The 20,331-nt window shown below is 41.3% G+C and overlaps 2 long non-coding RNA genes and 1 pseudogene across 2 annotated transcripts in view; 1 reads left to right on the top strand and 2 right to left on the bottom strand.

Moving 5' to 3' along the window:
* Positions 1-20,331, bottom strand: part of JPX (JPX transcript, XIST activator) — a 126,061-nt gene that overhangs the window by 2,003 nt on the left and 103,727 nt on the right. Inside the window, exon 4 of the long non-coding RNA NR_024582.1 lies at positions 6,234-6,346. This is a non-coding gene — a long non-coding RNA (JPX transcript, XIST activator). The remainder of the gene's footprint in view (positions 1-6,233; positions 6,347-20,331) is intronic.
* FTX (FTX transcript, XIST regulator) overlaps positions 1-20,331 on the top strand; it is a 265,439-nt gene that overhangs the window by 225,193 nt on the left and 19,915 nt on the right. The gene's annotated exons all lie outside the window — the stretch shown is intronic.
* On the bottom strand, positions 927-2,646 carry SHISA5P2 (SHISA5 pseudogene 2; annotated as a pseudogene).

The raw sequence follows: 20,331 nt of genomic DNA, 5'->3' as shown, positions 1-20,331 counted from the left end.
GAGAAGACATACGTATTGCAAAGAGGCATATGAAAATGTGCTCAACATCATTGATCATTAGAGAAATGCAAATCAAAACTACAATGAGATCATCTCACCCAGTTAAAATGGCTTATATGCAAAAGTCAAGTAATAACAAATGCTGGCTAGGATGTGTACACTGTTTGGTGGGAATGTAAATTAGTACAACCTCTATGGAGAACAGTTTTCAGGTTCCTAAGAAGACAAAAAATATTGAACTACTATATGATCCAGAAATCCCAGTGCTTGGTATATACCCAAAAGAAAGAAAATCAGTATATCAAAGAGATATCTGTGTGCCTATGTTTGTTGCAGCAGTGTTTACAAGAGCTAAGATTTGGAAGCAACGTAAGTGTTCATCAACAGATGAATGGGTAAAGAACGTGTGGTACATATACACAATGGAGTACTATTCAGCCATAAAAAAGAATGAGATCCAGTCATTTGCAACAACATGGATGGAACTGTAGATCATTACATTAAGTGAAATAAGCCAGGCACAGAAAAACAAACATTTCATGTTCTCATTTACTTGTGGGATCTAAAAATCAAAACAATTGAACTCATGGAGATAAAGAGTAGAGGAATGGTTATCAGAGGCTGGGAAGGGTAGTGGGGGCATGTGGGGGCAGTGGGGATGTTCTATGGGTACAAGTAATAATCAGAAAGAATGAATAAGAACTACTATTTGATAGCACAACAGGGTGACTATAGTCAATAATAACTTAATTGTACATTTTAAAACAACTTAAAGAGTGTGATTGGATTGTTTGTAACTCAAAGGATAAATGCTTGAGGGGATGGATATTTCATTCTTCATTATGTGCTTATTTCACATTGTATGCCTGTATCACATCTCATGTACCCAATAAATACATACCTCTACTATGTGCCCACAATTTTTTTCCAAACTATTGCATTTATTATAAACAAGGGTGCAGACTCTAGACTCTCAGAAACACAACAGATACGAAGCTGAGACAGCTCTGGTGAAACAATAACTGAGAGACAGGGAATACCGAGGTATTCATGTCTGCCATCCAGGACCCCACACCCCACCTTTGGTCCAGATGGCCCCTTGGCCCAGGTGTCCCTGCTGCCAGAACACACTGGACTGGGGTACAGGAGTTGCATATTCCATGAGGCTGGTGTCAGGGGAAGCAGGGACTCACAGTTGCCAGGTTTTCCCTCTTCTCCTGGCCAATTTCCCTCCACAACCCAGGGGTTTCAGTCTCACATCAACTATCACATTTTAAAACAGAAAACAGGCAAAATGTTTGGTTAAAATAAAATGAAAACACTGCAGGGAAGAGACCTGAGTGTGCTGGTGGACAGAGCGCCCTGTTCACCTGTGGGAAGGGCAGGGCCAGCAAGGGCAGGAGAGCTCCCTGTGGGTAGCTAGGCTGTGTGTGTGGCCCTCCAGGTGGTCCTAGGGAGGATGTAGGGACAGGAACAGTCCAGGTAGACAGCTATCAGGTAAGCAGGGCTCTGCCTGAGGTGTTCTGGCATCAGGAGGCTGCCTGATCCCCAGTCGGCATGACACAGGCTCCAGGAAGCAATGGGACATCTGCCCAAAGGATCAAAGCCCAACTTGGTCAGATCCCAAGCTTCACCTGCATCATGTCTCTGGCTCTGCAAAGGGTACCCCCAACTCTGGGGACAAACCATGCCCCTGAGCAGCAGCTGGCTACGTTGCCAAAACCAGGACACATCTGTATCATACTCACAGAAAGCTGCACCATCCTGGTGTGACAGGCCACACTTGGTCACCCTAGGGTAAGCTGGAAAAGAACTCCAGATGTGCCATGGAGAGCCCCCCACCTCTCAGGGGCCACCTCACAGGGTGCTCCCCACCCCATTCTTTGAGTTTGGCTTGAGATTTTAGGAAGCATAATTTCAGGTGAGGAAGAGAAGAAAGTCTGGTCCCAGCCCACTCTGGCAAGGAACGTTCCCCACCTCGTCAGCATCAAAGGAAGCCACATATACAGGCAGGACACACACAGCACGCACGGGGCGTAAGGAACCGTGCTTGCACACCACTCACACACACACACAACATAATCTAGTGGCAGCCGGAGAGGCCGGGGCACGCTCCGGGAGCCGCCTTCGGGGCATATATGTAGGCCGGGTTGTAAGGAGGCTGGCTCGTGGGGTATGGCGCGGTTGCTCCTCCAGCCAGCGTCTCCTGGTAGGCCGGCGGGCCCATGGGCTGGGCCGAGTAAGGTGGTGGGTACTGTGTTGGGTAGGGTGCTGCTGTCATCCCTGGCTGGGGGAGCATGGGGTAGTAGCCCTGGTAGCTCGATCCAGGGTAGCTGGGCGGCACACTTGGAGGCTGAGTGTAAGGGGCGTGCACCACAGTGGTGAACGTGATGCTGGTGACAACCGGACGTGTTCGGCGGCACATCTTGTACAGGCAGCAGCAGGAGCAGGTGAAGCAGATGATGATAGTGATGACAGACAGCACAAAGTTGGTCAGGCTGATGGCCACCCATAGCTACGAACCCCATGTTAGCCTCTGCCTTCACCCAGGGGCCTTCTGCACCCCTGGACTTCCCCTCTTTCCATCATGGGCCACTCAGTTTCAATTTCTTCCCCTTTCGGAGAAAAGGAAAGGAAATCTCCCCCCACAAGTTTTTTTTTTTTTTATAATACAAGGAAAGTGTCAGGCGGGGCGTGGTGGCTCATGCCTGTAATCCCAGCACTCTGGGAGGCCAAGGCAGGCAGATCACTTGAGGTCAGGAGTTCGAGACCAGCCTGGCCAACATGGAGAAACCCCATCTCTACTAAAAGTACAAAAATTAGCCGGGCATGGTGGCAAGTACCTGTAATCCTAGCTACTCGGGAGGCTGGGGCAGGAGAATCGCTTGAACTCAGGAGGCGGAGGTTGTAGTGAGCTGAGATTGCACCACTGCACTCCAGCCTGGCGACAGAGTTAAGACTCCATCTCAAAAAAAAAATATATATATATATATATCAAAGACCATTGGGTCATGTCAAAGAGACTCAGAAGTCAATTTGATGAAAATCTCACAGGCCAAATATGGGACAATCTGAGCATCAATAAAAATCATAACTGCAATGAACTGTAAGCATAAAATATGTCTCACACAGAGATTTCATATTGATATTTGCAAAAAAAGTAATGTTCCTGTTGGTTGAATTGTGTCTCCCAAAAACATTCACATGTTGAAGTTTGGCTCAGTGGTACATGCCTATAGTCCCAGCTACTCAAAAGGCTGAAGCAGGAGGATAAAGTCCAGAGGTTCAAGGCTGTAGTGAGTTATAATCATGCCTGTGAATAGCCACTACACACTAGCCTGAGCAACATACTGAAACTCTGTCTCCAAAAAAGAGTCCAAATGTTGAAGTCCTAACCCTCAAAACCTGAATGTGACAATAATTAAAGTTAGGATTTTTGAAAAGGTAATTAAAATAAAATGAGAAGCATGTTAGTAGAAGCCTTGATTCCTTTGAAGTGACTATTGGTAGAAATATGAACATTAAAATGATTTTGGTGAAGGCTCAGAAAGAAAAGAGAAGAGCTGTAAAGACAGAAAGCTTCTGTCATCTTATGGAATATATATATCATCATGAACATCATATGGTAAAAATATGAATGTTTAAGGTTCTTCTGGTGCGGTCTCAAACAGAAATGAGGAACATGTTATTGGAAACGGGAGGAAAGGTTATTCTTGTTATAAAGTAGCAAAGAACTTGGACAAATTGTGTTCTAGTGTTTGGTGGAAAGTAGAATTTGTAAGTGATGAATGGATATTTAGCTGAGGAGATTTCTAAGCCAAGTGTCAAAGACCTGACCTGGCTTCTTTTTGCTGCTTTATAGTAAAATGTGAGAGAAGAGAATTAATTTGAGGAATGAATTGTTAAGTAAAAAGGAACCAGACTTGAAGATTTGGGAAATTCTCATCCTATTCATATTGCAAAACTTAGAAAATGTGTTCTGGAGAGAACATCAAGGATATGGCTGGAAAACAATTTACTAAAGATATTACATGTGCAATTCATAGATCCAATGAACAGCTCAGCAGAATCCAGGAATAGACAGGCAGTTGTCTAGGAAATATATGTCAACGACTCTCATCTGATTTTGTACCCCCTTTGAATTGCACAGGAGGCCCAAAAGGGTTTTGAGAATTTTGTACCAGCAGAAATGCTGCTAGCTTGGACTGAAGGGGACAGAGACGGGATAAAATGAAGGAAGGCTGTTGGACTTCTGGAATTCTACAAAATGGGCCAATAGCGCTATCCAGCTGTAAACATGTCTTATCCTTCAAGAAAAGAGAAGAATAACCCAAAGGTAGATCAGAGGTCAGCAGGGCTTACTTCTCCCTTGGGCCCAGAGGCATAGGCCTAGGGAATGTGGCTATATCCTCCAGATTTCATCTAGCCAGGCATCTGCTTGTGAGTGCCAGAGGGTGTGGGTCTGTTTTCTAGGGCTGAGGTGAGTAGGGCTGCTTTCCAGAGCTGAGAAGGCTTGGCCACCACCTGGGTGGGCTCAGAGGACAGAACACTGAGCCAAAGAAATTTATTCTTGAGCCTTAAAATCTAATGGAATTTTCCCTGTTCTGATTTGAATTTACTTGCAATCCATGATCCTTTTTTTTCTCATTTTTTCTCCTTGAAATAGGAATTTCTATCCTATGTCTGTTCTACTATTGTATTTTTAAAGCAGATAACCTGTCTGGTTTTACAGGTTTTCAGATGGAGAGGAATTTTGCCTCAGGTTGAATCATACCTCAAGTCACTCATATCTGATTTAGATGACATTTATATAAGATTTTGGTGCTGAAATGTGGGGTGCTGCTTTAAAAATATAGAAGTGCCTTTTGAATTGAGTAATATGTAGGTGCTGGTAGAGTTTTGAGGAACAGAGTGAAGACAGTGTGAAGGCACAGGGTGAAGATGGCCATCTCTAAACCTGAAAATTCTTCCCTGGTGGCCCCTCAGGAGGAACTAACTCTGCTGACAACTTGACTTCAGCCTTCTAGCCTCCATAACTGTGAGAAAATAAATTTCTGTTGTTTAAAGCTACCCAGTCTGTGGTACTTTGTTATGACAGCCCTCGCAAATTAATAAATGTCCTTTGGAAGATGATAGAGAACAATTGTTTGGAAAGCTGATTTTCAAAAAGGTAAAGAGAGAAGCATTTATTTTGACCTCCTATACAAACTGTACCTCAAGTTAAACAAAGCATCTGTACTTTTAAATTTTTTTTATGGGTGGGGTCTCATTGTGTTTCCCAGGCTGGAGCACAGTGACTGTTCACAGGTGTGATCATAGCATACTGCAGCCTTGAACTCCTGGTCTAAAGAAATTTTTTTGCCTTTGCATCCTGAGTAGCTTGGACTACAGGTGTGTGTCACCCTGCCTAGCTTATATTTTGTAAGAAACATAGAGCCAGGGGAACATGTTAAATGACATCATTGAAACTCAATCAGCAAAATCCAGACTCTGGAAAAGTCTAAACAATAATTGACTATATTTCTTCAACAAATAATTTGCAAAGAATAAAAAAAATAAGAGAACGAGGGGGAACTTAGAGAGTTAAAGAGGCTTAAGAGATATATTAACAAAATGCAAAACAAGTACCTGTAAGGTGCTTTGGGTACAGCTTGTGTGCATGTCAAATCATGTCTTCTCTTAATCGAGTCACTGCTGTGGTGACCAGTTCTATGCAAGCATAATCTGACAAGGCCTTGCACTGGCCCAGTGCAGTGTATATCTTGCTTCTTGCACAGGGGCTTCTCTGATGCCAAATCACTGGGCAAATTACAGACCAGTGGGCAGTCAGACATGTGCAAATAGGATGTGTGGCAGAATTAGGTTACATGGGATTATCTTGACTAATAAGGGAATGGGAGGTGTTGGCTAAATCCTTCCCTCTTATGTCCTTCAACTAGACAGTTCTGAGATATATTTCATAATGCAACTCAGAAGGTCCCCAAGATCATATACCTGTTATCAGTTGCATGGTAACTAAAATTTGGAATTATTCCTTGTACTGGCTTTCCTTCCTTTTTAAAATACTCCTATATACTTCATTTCTACTCTTGGGATCAGTTCCCAAATAAATTACCCCACAGAGCTTTTGTCTGTTTGGGGTAGTGTTTTAAAATATGGCTTTTATTATTATTTAAGTAGGTAAGACCAACAAATCAGGAAATCTCTGCCATTGAAAAGACTGTTATACTCACAGATCACAAGAAGAGGCATGCCACACCGTCAGGGTTCACCCAGGAAAGCACCAGTGTCAGTCAGGAGGCAGAGGGTGAGGGAAGAATGTGGGCGAGAGCCTTTATTGTGGTTTCTGAGGGAAGGAATAGGCAAGTTAAAGTAAGCAGGTTTAGAATTAGCTAGTTTGAATAATTTTAGCAGGCTCTACAGCTTAGGGGCTTTTCCTAGTTGTCTGATACCCGACCCGGGGGTGATTTGGGCAGGTAAATAGTGGTCCTGTGCCTGAGAAGCCAATAAAGGAGGTGATGGAGGATATGGACTCTGGAGTGGTTGGTTTGCATATGAAAGACACTTTCATAATCCAGTTGTTTACTGTCTCTAGAAATTGGCTAATCCTGGGAGGAGCAATCCTTCCAAGGTCAGCACTGCCTCAAGATGTCAAAGCATCAGAATATAGAAAATTAAAGACATGGTTAATACAATTGAATACAATTGGCCCTGTGATACTTTGATATCATATTAAAAACATATTGGGATGATGATAGAGACTATACATTAGGACATATGTTTTCCCAAATGGCCTAGAAAACATTTTATAATGGGAATCAAAAGAAAGGAATGCAAGTAGAAGTATTAAATATAAGAGTCTTTATAGGCTGGACCATGATTAAGTTTCTCATTTATATGGCATTAACCAAAAAAAGTAGATCTGAAATTTCTGAGATCTCTAACAATATCTTGTTGGAGTTGTAAAGTGTGTTAAAGTTTATATATATGTATGATATATATATATTTATATATACATACGTATGTGGATATATATCACATATACACATATAAATGTGTGTATGACAGATATAGATACACACACACATATATACGTATATATAAACAGTAATATCTTGGTGTATTTCTTGAGTCAAAGTGAAGAGTCAAACAGTTATGTTGCTGCAGGCAGGTTACGAACTGATAAGTTAGTAAAGTATATGTAGATATTAGTGGTATTTTTGTGTGACCAAGGGGAAAGGGTGATTGCTGTGGTAGTGATTGGAGAAGAAGGGCAGGATGTAACGCTGGAGGTGGAGAAGGAGAGGGCACAGTAGAGTGAGTGGTCCCCTCTCTAGGGAGTCAAGGAGTTGACTGATACGTGACAGGTCCTTCTGGGGAAAATAATGATCTCCATTAATTTTTAGAGAGGTACAGATAGTAGTAACCTCTCCTAGATTTCGTATATATGTAACCTCCATGTACTTAAAAACACATTATATATGAGACTGCTATAGTTCGGAAGTTTGTCCCATCCTAATCGCATGGTGAAATTTGATCCTCAATGTTAGAGGTGAGGCTTAGTGGGTGGTGTGTGGGTTATCTCCCTTGGGTGTGAGTAAGTTCTTGTTCGATTATTTCCCACCAGAGCTCGTTGTTAAAAAGAGCCTGGTACCTTCCTTCTTGAGACAGGCAGGCTGGTTGGTTTCCTGTTTTAATATGGTCTGGAGAAAAAGGATAAAAACCTCTCACTCAAGATCTAGCTTATGTGACCCTCAACCAGTCAGTAACAAAAGACCCAAGAAATAATTATCGCAAGTTTCTGTTTCAGGGGGCTAGAGACTTCCCTGGAGTACCTGCATGTGCAGATATACTTAAATTCCAACCTATAGTTAACTCTTCCTCATTTTTAATGCGAAAAATCATGCCCAAGGGTGATTTAAAATGCTAATGCTACATACAATGTATGAAGAAGCATGTTGAGCCACTGCACAAACACTAGAAAAACCTCTCCTATACATGCCCTGATGTAACCCTTCCCTGTAGAAAGATCCTACAAAACTAACTCAGACACTTCCCTTGTGGAGCAGCCTATTTCTATTTGTAAATGAGGAATGCGTTGCCATCAGAACTCAAAAAGGATTAAAAGATGTTGGACTTGTAGATTCTAAATGAATGTATCAAATGAATCTCCTTGGAGGATGATGTTATACCTGTGATCCTGGTAAAAGGTGAAAGTAGTTAGGCTCTCATCTGCAAAGATTGTGTGCAATGGCAAAGCTGTTTAGGTACCCCATGGGTAGCCTGAAGAAGAGTATTGTGTTCCTTTGGAGATGAAGGCAAACTGTGGTGAGATGCTGTTGAAATAGGCACTGAACAGAACATATTAGCCAAATACGTAATAGCAAAATATTTATCAGTTGTTGATTGGATAGAGTCAGTAATTTTCGTAATATTGGGTATTTCGTATGGGGGCCTTAATGGATGAGACCACAGGTTGTAATAATCCATCCTGAGATGCCATCAGGTGTATTTTTGTATCTATGTATCTATGCCAAATAAATATATTTTTAATTTTCTTGTTAAGAACAAGAAAATTTGGCTATCAAATCAAGAAGCAGTGGAGATAATCACCTCTTTATTAATTAGGTTTTTTAAATTGTGGTAAAATATACATAATATAAAACTTACTATCTTAAAACCATTTTTAAGTTTCCAGTTCAGTAGTTGTAAGTACATTTTCATTGTGGTACAACCAATCTTTTGCAAAATTGAAACACTATACTCATTAAACAAGACTCCCATTTCTCCCTCCTTTCAGCCTCTAGAAACCACCCCTCTACTTTTTGTTTCTATGAATTTACTCTAGGTACCTCATATAACTGTATACAGTATTTATCTTTTTATTATTGATATATTTCACTTAGCCTAATGTCCTCAAGTTTCATCCATGTGTCAAAATTTTCTCCCTCTTTAAGGCTGAATAATATTCCATTGTATTTATATACAACATCTTGTTTATTTATTAATCAATTAATGTACACTGGGTTGCCACCATCTTTTGTGTATTGTGAATAATGCTGCTATGAACATGGGTGTGCAAATATCTGCTTGAGTCCCTGCCTTCACTTCCTTGGAATATATACTGAGAAGTGGAATTACTGGATCATATAGTAATTCTGTTTTTAATTTTTTTTTTTTTTGAGACAGAGTCTCCCTCTGTTGCCCAGGCTGGAGTACAATGGCATGATCATAGCTCATTGTAACCTCGAACTCCTGGGCTCAAGTGATCTCTGTCTCAGTCTCCTGAGTAGCTAGGACTACTGGTATGCAGCACCATGCCTGGCTAATTTTTTTTATTTTTATTATTTTTGTAGAGACAGGGTCTCACTATGTTGCCCAGACTTCTCTTGAATTCTTGGCCTCAAGTGATCCTTTCACCTCTGTCCCCCAAAGCACTTGGATTACAGGTGTGAGCTATTCCTGGTCAGGACCATTTGTTGATCAGGGCATCCAATGCTAAGATGACTGCCTGAGGTTTGGCTAAGTGTGTTGTTTCTTGGGCCCTATCCTAAGATGGGCTCCACCCAAGTTTGGCTCCACCCTGTTTTAACGAGGTCTTCCTTCATAGCCAGGCTGAGCTTGTGGCGTGCTGCTTCCATGACCCAAAGCATAATGAGCAGCTGGGTATGGAGGGTCACAGGCTCAAGGTCTATGAGATCTTCTATTTCCAAATGTGCCCAGTATGTAGGCAGGTATTTGTTGTTTTAATGGTGCATAGCACAAGGCCAAGAGGGGCAATATGTTGCATTAGAAGCCCTGGAGCAACTAATGGCCATCAGGAGTGATCCACAGACTCCAGAAGGCGTGAAAAAGTTGTCGTGAATGAGGTTTTTTGAAAGCACTAATAGGAGTGATGGTCAATTTTAATTTATAAGTAAAAAACATACTGGACTTATATGTACTTAGTGAGTGTGTCACATGAATCTCCTTGAAAGAGGATGTCATTCATGTAATATCAGACCTTTATTCCTGGAGAAAGATACATGCCATCAGGGTCTTATCTCCAAAGATTGCATGTGATAAAAAAGCTATTGTGGGCTGGGCGCGGTGGCTCACGCCTGTAATCCCAGCATTTTGGGAGGCCAAGACGGGTGGATCATCTGAGGTCAGGGGTTCGAGACCAGCCTGGCCAACATGGTGAAACCCCATCTCTACTAAAAATACAAAAATTAGCTGGGTGTGGTGGCACACACCTGTAATCCCGGCTACTCAGAGGCTGAGACATGAGAATCGCTTCAACGCAGGAAGCGGAGGTTGCAGTGAGCTGAGATCGCACCATCACACTCCAGCCTGGGCAACAGAGTGAGACCCTGTCTCAAAAAAAAAAAAAAAAAAAGCTATTGTGGTACCCCATCAGTAACCTAGAAAAGGTGTATTGTGTCCCTTTCGGAGGTGGAAGCAAACTGCAGCTGAGAGACTGTTGAAACAGGCATTAAACAGAACATATTAGCCAATCTATAAGAACAAAATATTTACTGATTGTTGACAGAATAGAATCATTAATATTAATAATTTCACATATTGGGTAGGGAGCCTTGATGATTGGGACCACATCATTAAGGTGGTAGTAAGCCATCTTGAGAACCCCTTTTTAAATTTATTTATTTCAGATTTAAGAGCAATCAAATGTCAAAATGGTCTGCTAAATGGAGAAGCATTGAGAATAATCACTTCTTTATTAGTTGGGTTTCATGTAATAAGTTTTAAGCTTTGCAGCCCTCATTTTAGCTTACATTGGGCCATATGAAGTCTTTTAACTGGGTGTTCATGGAATCCCATTCCATCAAGCCAGTTTTTAACAGCCAAAGATTTGCTTTGACTTTAATTCATTATTTGTTGTGTCAGAGCATTTAATTCCAATATGGTATATGTTACAGCATTGGGTACTATGACTATGAGAAATTTAGGCAAGGCAACAAATTAAGGCATATCTATTTTTCTCTATTATATTTAGTTACCATTTTAAGAATATAGGGGGCACAATGTTTAAATTTATTGAGGTGCCCAGGTATAATTTGAGCCCTAGTATTGATTAAATCCATAGATTTTTTTCAATTTTGGTCCATTCTACCAGTTGTTAAAGTTAAGTTATAATCTATGTTGTAGAGGCACAAAAACCAATCAGCACCCTTTTTAAACATTTTTTTTTTTAGACAGGGTCTCACTCTGTTACCCAGGCTGGAGTGCAGTGGCATGATCCTAACTCACTGCAGCCTCAGACTCCTGGACTCAAGCAATCCTCCCGTGTCAGCCTCCCAAATAGCTGGGACTACAGGCACGGGCCACCACTCCCAGCTAATTTTTAAATTTTTTGTAGAGATGAGATCTTGCTTATGTTGCTCAGGCTGGCTTCAATCCTCCCACCTTGGCCTCCCAATGTGCTGGGATTACAGGTGTAAGCCACCATGCCTTGCCTAAACCTTTTTGTTATATAAATTTTGAATTTTTAATTGAATCAAGGTGTGGAATTTTGCTTTTAGTTACATATCATATATACACATATACACAATTTATCATACATTGATATCAAAATATATGTATATATAATTTATTATGTATCTTTTATCCCCTTTTATTAGGGGTTTATTTATAAATCGATAAGTAATCTAGGGCTAGTATTTTGCTTGCTAGAGCTGATTTTCCTCAATTCTTAAAGTTGAAGTTCCTCTTTGTTTTTTTCCTTCAACTTGAAGCCACTGAAAGCAGCAGTATTTTTTCCTTATTGTGTTTTGTTTTGTTTTAGGTTTTTAGCCTCCTGACACTGTGGTTCATAGTTTCTGTATCTGGTTTATTAGAGGAATACAGGGAGGAGGAAGGGACCTGGTGTCTCCAGGTCCCTTTCCCTGGGACAACCTCCCACAACAGGACAATGAGCCTCCACCATTCTTTTCTTTTAAGTAAAATCTTTAGAATGGCTTGTATTTCTAGGTGACTAAAAACATTCTCTTTTCTCTCTCTTTTTGGATGTTTGCCTAACAAGCTCCTGGTGGTTCCAAGTGGCTCCTGTTGTGACCAGTGGCCTCCATTTGTGGTTTTCATTGGTCCTGTTGTAGGTAGCTGCCTTGCTCTCCAAGGCATCCCGATCAACATCATCTGGATTTGGATCAGCCTCCACTAGTGCAACAGTGGCAGGATCACTTGGCAAGGCCCCAAGCCCTATTTCTTTAATAGTTTGCTAACCTCCTCAGAGATCATGGGAGAGTTGGCAAAGAAATGTTCTGGCCTTTTAATTTGAATCATTAAGTTCTTTGTCATCACACACAATGGGGTTAAACCAATAGGGTAACACATAGGGTAAGGGGATCAAGAGTGACAGAAGGAAGAGAAGACAGAAACATATCGATTGTAGATCACAGTGCCACTGCTGCCAGTGAGATGCTGTCATCTCCCCAGTGAAGTAGGCACCCCTCTTGTCATACTGGAAAGTCTAGCCCCAGATACTGCCTCACCAATTCAGTGGGTAGTCAGAGTATATCTTCCTCTTGCCATCTGCTAAGGCTTACACTGGCCCAGTATCTTCCTGACAGCCCCTTAGCACAGGTTACTCCCTTTAACCTCTCAGTAATAAGCCATTCGAATCTGGGCAAGGCCTTCAGAATACAGTCAACTTAACTGTGACTAGTAGTTCCCATTCAGGAGAGTGATAGCGATCATGGTTGCCTCTCTTGCTGTACTAAGGCAGGTGATTGTTGGTTCTTGGAGAGAACTCCAACTTTCTAGGACGCACTCAATTTAGGGAGGGGAGTTTTGGCGGTACTTAATAAAGACAATAAGCAGTAGGATGCAGCAGCACAGACACACATCAGCAAGCCATGGAGCCTTCTCAAATGGTGTTAGCCAGGTGAGAGGGCCAGCTAACAGGCCAAAAGCAGTCTAAAGGCATTTTGTTGTATCCCTCATGGTCATGACCACTCTGCTTGATGCATCAATTGCTATATATATACACGTATATATATATACACACACATACACACACACACACACACACACACACACATATATATATAAAATTTGGTCTTGGGGTCTCTCTCTGGAGAGTGGCCACAAATCCTTGCTCTGCGCTGACAAGACTCCAGGGGAGGTTGTCCTGGATGTTTACAATGTACCTTTTATGGGATACCTCTTTATCCTGGAGGACAGCCTAATGCCTAAGTGTCCAACCCACTTGACCATGATCAGGTGTCCTTCTGATAAGAAACATGTTTATACTGGAAGATGCCCTTGTGGCTCTTCTCTGATCTGTGTCCAGTTTATTCCTACCAAGATAGCCACTCTCTAGGAAAGCTCTAACTAGGAGGAGAATTAGATTCAGGTGTGATGGTCAGGTGAGACACAGAAGAGGCAGCACAAAAAAAAAGGATATATGAAATAAGAAGCAGTTTTTATTACTTACAGATATTTGAGAGAAGAGGGCAGCATGCCTCAGAGGGCCATTGGGAAATGGGGAGTTCTTCAAGATATGTATGTTCCAACAGTGGGTGAGGAGCAAGAGCAACTCAAGAGTAGATTTGATTTGCCAGAAGAAAGAATCAGTGAACTTGGAAATAGATTAATAGAGATTATGCAATCTGCAGAGCAGAGTGAAAAACATAAACAAAAATGAAAAGAAACTCAAAGAAAGATGGGCCACCATTAAGTGCACTAACGTATACATAATGGAACTACCAGAAAGAAGAAAATGAGCAGAAAAACTATTTAATTTAAATAATGGCTGAAATCCTCCCAAATTCGGTGAAAACATTCGTCTACATACATCTAATAGGATCAACGAACTGCAAGGAAGATAAACACAGAGATCGACACCCATACAAATCAGAGTAGAATTGGTTTTGCTAGTTGAGCTCATTTTTGGTTCCAAATGAATTTTAGAATGTATTTTTATAATTCTTTGATAAATATCATTGGTAGTTTGATATGAATAGTATTGAATCTGTAAATTGCTTTATGCAGTATGAACATTTTAACAACATTGATTTTTTCCTATCTGTGAGCATGGAATGTTTTTCCATGTTTTTGTGTCTTTGATTTCCTTCAGTACTGTTTGGTAATTCTTGTAGAGATTTTTTGCCTCCCTTTTTAGCTGTCTTCCTAGGTATTTTATTTTTGTGGAGATTGTGAGCAGGATTGCATTCTAGATTTGGCTCTCAGCTTAGACATTATGGGTGTCTAAAGCACTACTGATTTTTGCACATTGATTTTGTATCCTGAAACTTTGCTGAAATTGCTTATCATATCTGGGAGGCTTTGGGCAGAGACTATGGGGTTTTGCAGGTATGGTATCATATCATCTGTGAAGGGAGATAGTTTTACTTTCTCACTTCCCATTTGGATGCCTTTTATTTCTTTCTTTTGCCTGATCGCTCTGGCTAGGACTTCCAGTATTATGTTAAATAGGAGTGGTGAGAGTGGGCATCCTTATCTTGTTCTGGTTCTCAATGGGAATGCTTCCAGCTTTTGCCCATTTAGTATGATGTTGGCTGTGGGTTTATCATAGAGATGGCTCTTATTATTTTGAGGTATGTACTTTTGATGCATAGTTTGTTGAAGGTTTTTAACATGAAGTGATGTTGAATTTTATCAAAACGCTTTTCTGCATCTTTTGAGATGATCATGTGGTTTTTGTTGTTAGTTGTTTATGTGACAAATCACAATTATTGACTTGCATATGTTGAACCAATCTTGCATTGCAGGAATAGATTTGACTTGAGCATAGTGGATTAGCTTTTTGATGTGCTGCTGGATTTGGTTTGTTTGCATTTTGTTAATAGATTTTGCATCTGTGTTCATCAGGGGTATTGGTATGAATTTTTTTTTCACTGTTCTCTGCCAACTTTTGGTATCAGAATGATACTAGTCTCATGGAATATGTTAAGGAGGAGTCCCTTCTCCTCAATTTTTTGAAATATTTTCAGTAAGATCAGCACCAGCTCTTATTTATACATCTGGAAGAATTCACCTGTGAATCAGTCTGGTCTAGGGCATCTTCTGGTTGGTAGACTTTTTATTTCTGATTCAATTTCAGAACTCATTATTTGTCTGGTCATGATTTCAATTTCTTCCTCGTTCAATGTTGGGATGTTGTATGTGTCTGAGAATTTATCCATTTCTTCTAGGTTTTCTAGTTCATATGTGGAGAGGTGTTGTAATAATCTCTGAGGGATTTTTGTATTTCTGTGGAGTCAGTGGTAATGTCCCGTTTTTCATTTATCTTTATCATCTTTTTTTCTTTATTAGTTTAGCTAGTAGTCTACCAATCTTATTTAGTCTTTTAAAGAACCAAGGTTTAGTTCATTGATTTTTTGTGTGTGTGGTTTTTCTCATCTCTATTTCATTCAGCTCAGCTCTGATTTTGGTTATTCCATGTCTTCTTCTAGCTTTGGGATTGGTTTGTTTTTATTTTTCTAGTTCCTCTAGGTGTGATGTTAGGTTGTTATTTTGAGATCTTTCTAACCTTTTGATGTGGGTGTTTAGCACTATAAACTTTCCTCTTAACACTGCTTTAGCTTGGTCCCAGAGATTATGGTATGTTGTATCTTTGTTGTCATTAGCTTCAAAAATGTCTTGATTCCTGCCTTCATTTCATTGTTTACCCAAAAGTCATTCAGGAGCATACTGCTTAATTTCCATGTAATTGTATGGTTTGAAAGAACTTCTTGGTTTTGATTTCTATTTTTATTGCACTGTGGTCTAACAGTATGGTTGATATGATTTCGGCTTTTTAAAAAAATTTCTTAGCAATTGCCTTATGGCTGAGCAAGTGGTCAATTTTAGAGTATGTGCCATGTACAGATGAAAAGAATGTATATTCTAATTTTGTTGGGTGCAGTGTTCTGTAGATGTCTGTTAGGTCCATTTGATCAAGCATCAAATTTAGGTCTGGAATATCCTTGTTAGTATTGTCCCTTGATGATCTGTCCACTATTGTCAATGGGGTGTTGAAGTATCCCACTATTATTAAGTGGTTATCTAAGTCTCTTTGTAAGTCTCTAAGAACTTGTTTAATCAATCTGGATGCTGCAGTGTTGGGTGCATATATATTTAGTTACATCTTCTTGTTGAATTGAACTTTTTATAATTATGTAATGCCCTTCTTTGTCCTTTTTGATCATTGTTCATTTAATGTCAGTTTTGCCTGATATAAGAACAGCAACCTCTGCCCTTTTTTGTTTTCCATTTGCCTGATAGACCTTTCTCATCCCCTTACTTTCAGCCTATAAATATCCTTTTGTGTAAGATGGGTATCTTGAATACAGCATACAGTTGGGTCTTGCTTCTTTATCTAACTTTCCACTCTGTGCCTTTTAAGTGCGGATGTTTAACCCATTTATGTTCAAGGTCAATATTGATAATGTGTAGATTCGATCCTGTCATTATGTTGTTAGCTGGCTGTTAGGTAGACTTGATTGTGTATTTGGTTTATAGTGTTGATGGTCTATGCACTTGAGTGTGTTTTGGTGGTGGTTAGTAATGGTCTTTTCTTTCTATGTTTAGCACTACATTAAGGACCTTTTGTAAGGCAGGCCTGTTGATCACAAATTCCCTTAGCGTTTGCTTGGCTGGGAAGGATTTTATTTCTCCTTTGCTTAAAAAGCTTAGTTTGGCTGGATATGAAATTCTTAGTTGGATTTCTTTTCTTTTCTTTTTTTTTTTTTTTTTGAGACGGAGTCTTGCTCTGTCGCCCAGGCTGGAGTGCAGTGGCCTGATCTTGGCTCACTGCAACCTCTGCCTCCTGGGTTCACACCATTCTCCTGCCTCAGCCTCCCGAGTAGCTGGGACTACAGGCGCCTGCCACCATGCCCAGCTAATTTTTTTGTATTTTTTTAGTAGAGACGGGGTTTCACTGTGTTAGCCAGGCTGGTCTCGATCTCCTGACCTCGTGATCTGCCCACCTCGGCCTCCCAAAGTGCTGGGATTACAGGCTTGAGCCACCATGCCCGGCCCGGATTTCTTTTCTTGAAGGATGCTCAATATAGGTCCCCAATCTCTTCTAGAATGTAGGATTTCTGCTGAAATGTTCACTGTTAGCCTGATGAGGTTCCCTTTTTAGGTGACCTGCCCCTTCTCTCTAGTTGCCTTTAATATTTATTCTTTGGCATTGACCTTGGTGAGTTTGATCACTATGTGTCGGGGATGGTTGTCTTGTATAGTATATTGCAGAGGCCACCTGAATTTCTTGAATTTGAATGTTGACCTCTCTAGCAAGGTTGGGAAACTTTTCATGGATGATATCCTCAAATATGTTTTCCCATTTGCTTGCTCTCTCTCCCTCTCTTTTAGAGATGCCAAAGAGTCATAGGTTTGGTCTCTATACATAATTCCATATTTCTTGGAGATTTTGTTCATTTTTTAAGTTTTTTTTTCTTATTTTTGCCTGACTCAGTTAATTTGAAGAACCGGTCTTTGAGCTCTGAGAGTCCTCAGCTTGATCTATTCTGCAGTTAATTCTCCCCATTGTGTCATGAAATTTTTGTAGTAAGTTTTTCAGCTCTATCAATCAGGTCAGTACGGTTCATTTCATAAAATGTCTATTTTGTCTTTCATGTATTGAATTATTTTACTGTATTCCTTAGATTCCTTAGAATGGGTTTCAACTTTCTCCAAATTTTGATGGTCTTTATTGCCATCCAGATTCTGAATTTTATGTCTGTCATTTCAGCCATTTAAGCCTAGTTACGTACTATTGCTGGGAAACTAGTGCAGTCATTTGGTGGTAAGGAGACACTCTGGCTTTTAGAGTTTCAAAGGTTCTTGGGCTGGTTCTTCCTCATCTGTGAGGGCTTACGCTTCTATAAATGTGGGATAACTTGGGTATAGTCAGTTGATGACATTTTTATATGTTTTCAGAGAGTCAAGGCTTTGTTCAGGGTCTTTATTTGTGACTGAATTTTTCACCTTGATTTTGCAGGGCGGATATATTAGGAAAGAATTTTTGGTGTTGAAGTTTGGGCTGCGACCTTGTAGATGGTGCTTAAGTGTGATGGGTAGTAGGTAGGCTCTTGCTCAGCCACACAGCTCCCCTGTATTCCTTCACAGTTGCAGCCATGCTTCTTCTAAGTGCTCTGAGAGTGTTGGCTCCTATCCCACTTCATTGCTGGCTTCAGATCTCACCTTGGCACCATCAGGCTGCACACCACAGCCACGGGGCATGCTCAGGCTTTCTGTTTCCTTTCCATTTGGGGGCAGCAGTGGTGGGGCCTTGACAATGACAATGGCAGAAAAATGTTCACTTGTTTCTTGAGGTGCCAACCCAGAGAAATGCAGACTCACTGCTGACTGGATCAATCAGCCAGGTGTGGGGCAGCTGTGTTGCAGGTCCAAGCCAGGGGGCCATGCCTGGTGATGAACACAGTGGGTGTGTGGCTTGAGTGGAAGACAGACTGGCTTCTTCTTCATAGGGCAGCTATATTGTGGTGTAGGTATGAGTAGAACCCTCAGGGTCTTGACACCTTCCCCAATCCAAGGGCAGCAAGGGCAGTACCACTGCTGTGGCAGTAGCAGAGGGGCTTTCAGTTGCCTCTGGGAGTTGCACCCCAGAGAAATGCAGAGCCACTGCCAATGGAAATGTTCAGCCAAGGGTGGAGTGGTTGCATTGCAGTCCCTTGCTGGGGGGCCCTCCTGGTGAAAAGTAGGTGGTGGGGGCTCACAGGGAAGAGAAATTTGACCCCTCGCCATATGGCAGCTGCAGCATACTGGAGGTGCCAGTGAAGTGAACAGGTCCTTTGTTTCTTTCCCAGCTTGAGGACAGGAAGGGCGGTACTGCTGTAGCTGCAATGGTAGAGGGGCTGTGGGTTGACTCTGGGATTTTCTCCTCAAAGAAACAGACAGCCACCACCAACAAGTGTTCAGGCAGGGGCAGGGCAGCTTTACTGGGGGCCCAGGTCAAGACACCCTGACCAGTGAGGAATGGCAGGGGCAGGGACTCATATGGAAAGCAGCCTGGTTACCTTTCCATAAGGCAATTGTGCTGTGCTGGAGGCCCATGATCATTCTTAAGCTCTTTACTTCCTGTTATGCCTGAGGGCAGTAGGGGTAAGAGCTGCAAAGCAGCAAAAATGGCAGGCCTGTCCTTTACCTCTAGGAGCTCAATCCCAGGGAAATGCTGGGATAGAGTTCAGGTGGGGCCAGGGTGGCTGTGCTGGGGTCCCAGATTGGGAGATCCTGACCAGTGACAAGTAGCAGAGGCAGGGGCCCATGTGGAAAACCATATGGCTTCTTTTCTGTAAGGAAGCTATGTTGTGCTGGAGGCCTGCAATAGTCTTTAAGCATTTTGCTCTCTGCCAAGCCTAAGGGCAGTAGGGGTGGGAGCTGCAATGTGGCAAAAATGAGGGGCCTGTCTTTTACCTCTGGGAGCTCTGTCCCAGGGAAATGCAGAGCTGCTAGTAGCCCAAGAGCTCAGGCAGGGGTGGGGTGGCTGGGCTGGCTTCCCATGCCAGCAAGCGTTGTTCTGATGAGATGTAGTGGAGGTAAACCTGTGGTCTGTTTGCTCTTCAGAACCTTGGATGTGGCACGTATCATTAGATTTTGTGAGAGAGCCTGGCCTCCTTTACAACTAATTTTTGTACATTGGCCTTTAATCCTGCAATCTTGCTAAATTCATTAATTTTAATAGAAATTTTTGTATATTCTTTGGGAATATTTTACATAAATAGTCATGTCATCTGTGAATAGAGACAGTATTTTTCCTTCCTTTCCAATCTGTATGGTTTTTTCACTGTAAGTCTTGCTTATTTTATTTATTTATTTATTTATTTTTGAGACAGAGTATTTTCTTTTCTTTTCTTTTTTTTTGAGACAGAGTCTCGCTCTGTCATCCAGGCTGGAGTGCAGTGGCACCATCTCGACTCACTGCAAGCTCCACCTCCCAGGTTCATGCCATTCTCCTGCCTCAGCCTCCCAAGTATGAAAGCTACAGCCACAGCTTTCTTTACTTGGTAGAGCCCTGGAGGCCATAATTACCCCACAGAGCTTCAGACTGCTGTTTTACTATGAACAGATTTTCTCCATTTATGAGGTTTTTAGGTGACTGAAATTTTCTCTGATTGGCACAAAAGTATACTTTTTTAGTCAGAAAGGGCTGTCTAGGAAAGACATAGGATATATATATATATATATTTTTTTTCCTCTGTATGTGTTTCTACCTATTGTGTGTGAATATGTATCTAATGTGCTTATGTGTGTGTATTTAGAATATAGTGTATATGGCTATGACAGAAAAATTTTTAACTAAGTTGCATTTAGTGTTGCTCTCCTGGGACTCTGGGAGTGATGTCAATAATTTTTTCTAGGAAG

The sequence above is a fragment of the Homo sapiens genome, chromosome X (assembly GCF_000001405.40).
Source record: "Homo sapiens chromosome X, GRCh38.p14 Primary Assembly".
In the NCBI taxonomy this organism is placed as follows: Eukaryota; Metazoa; Chordata; class Mammalia; order Primates; family Hominidae; genus Homo; species Homo sapiens.
Note: the sequence above shows the minus strand (reverse complement) of the source record. Positions and strands in the feature narration are given on the sequence as shown.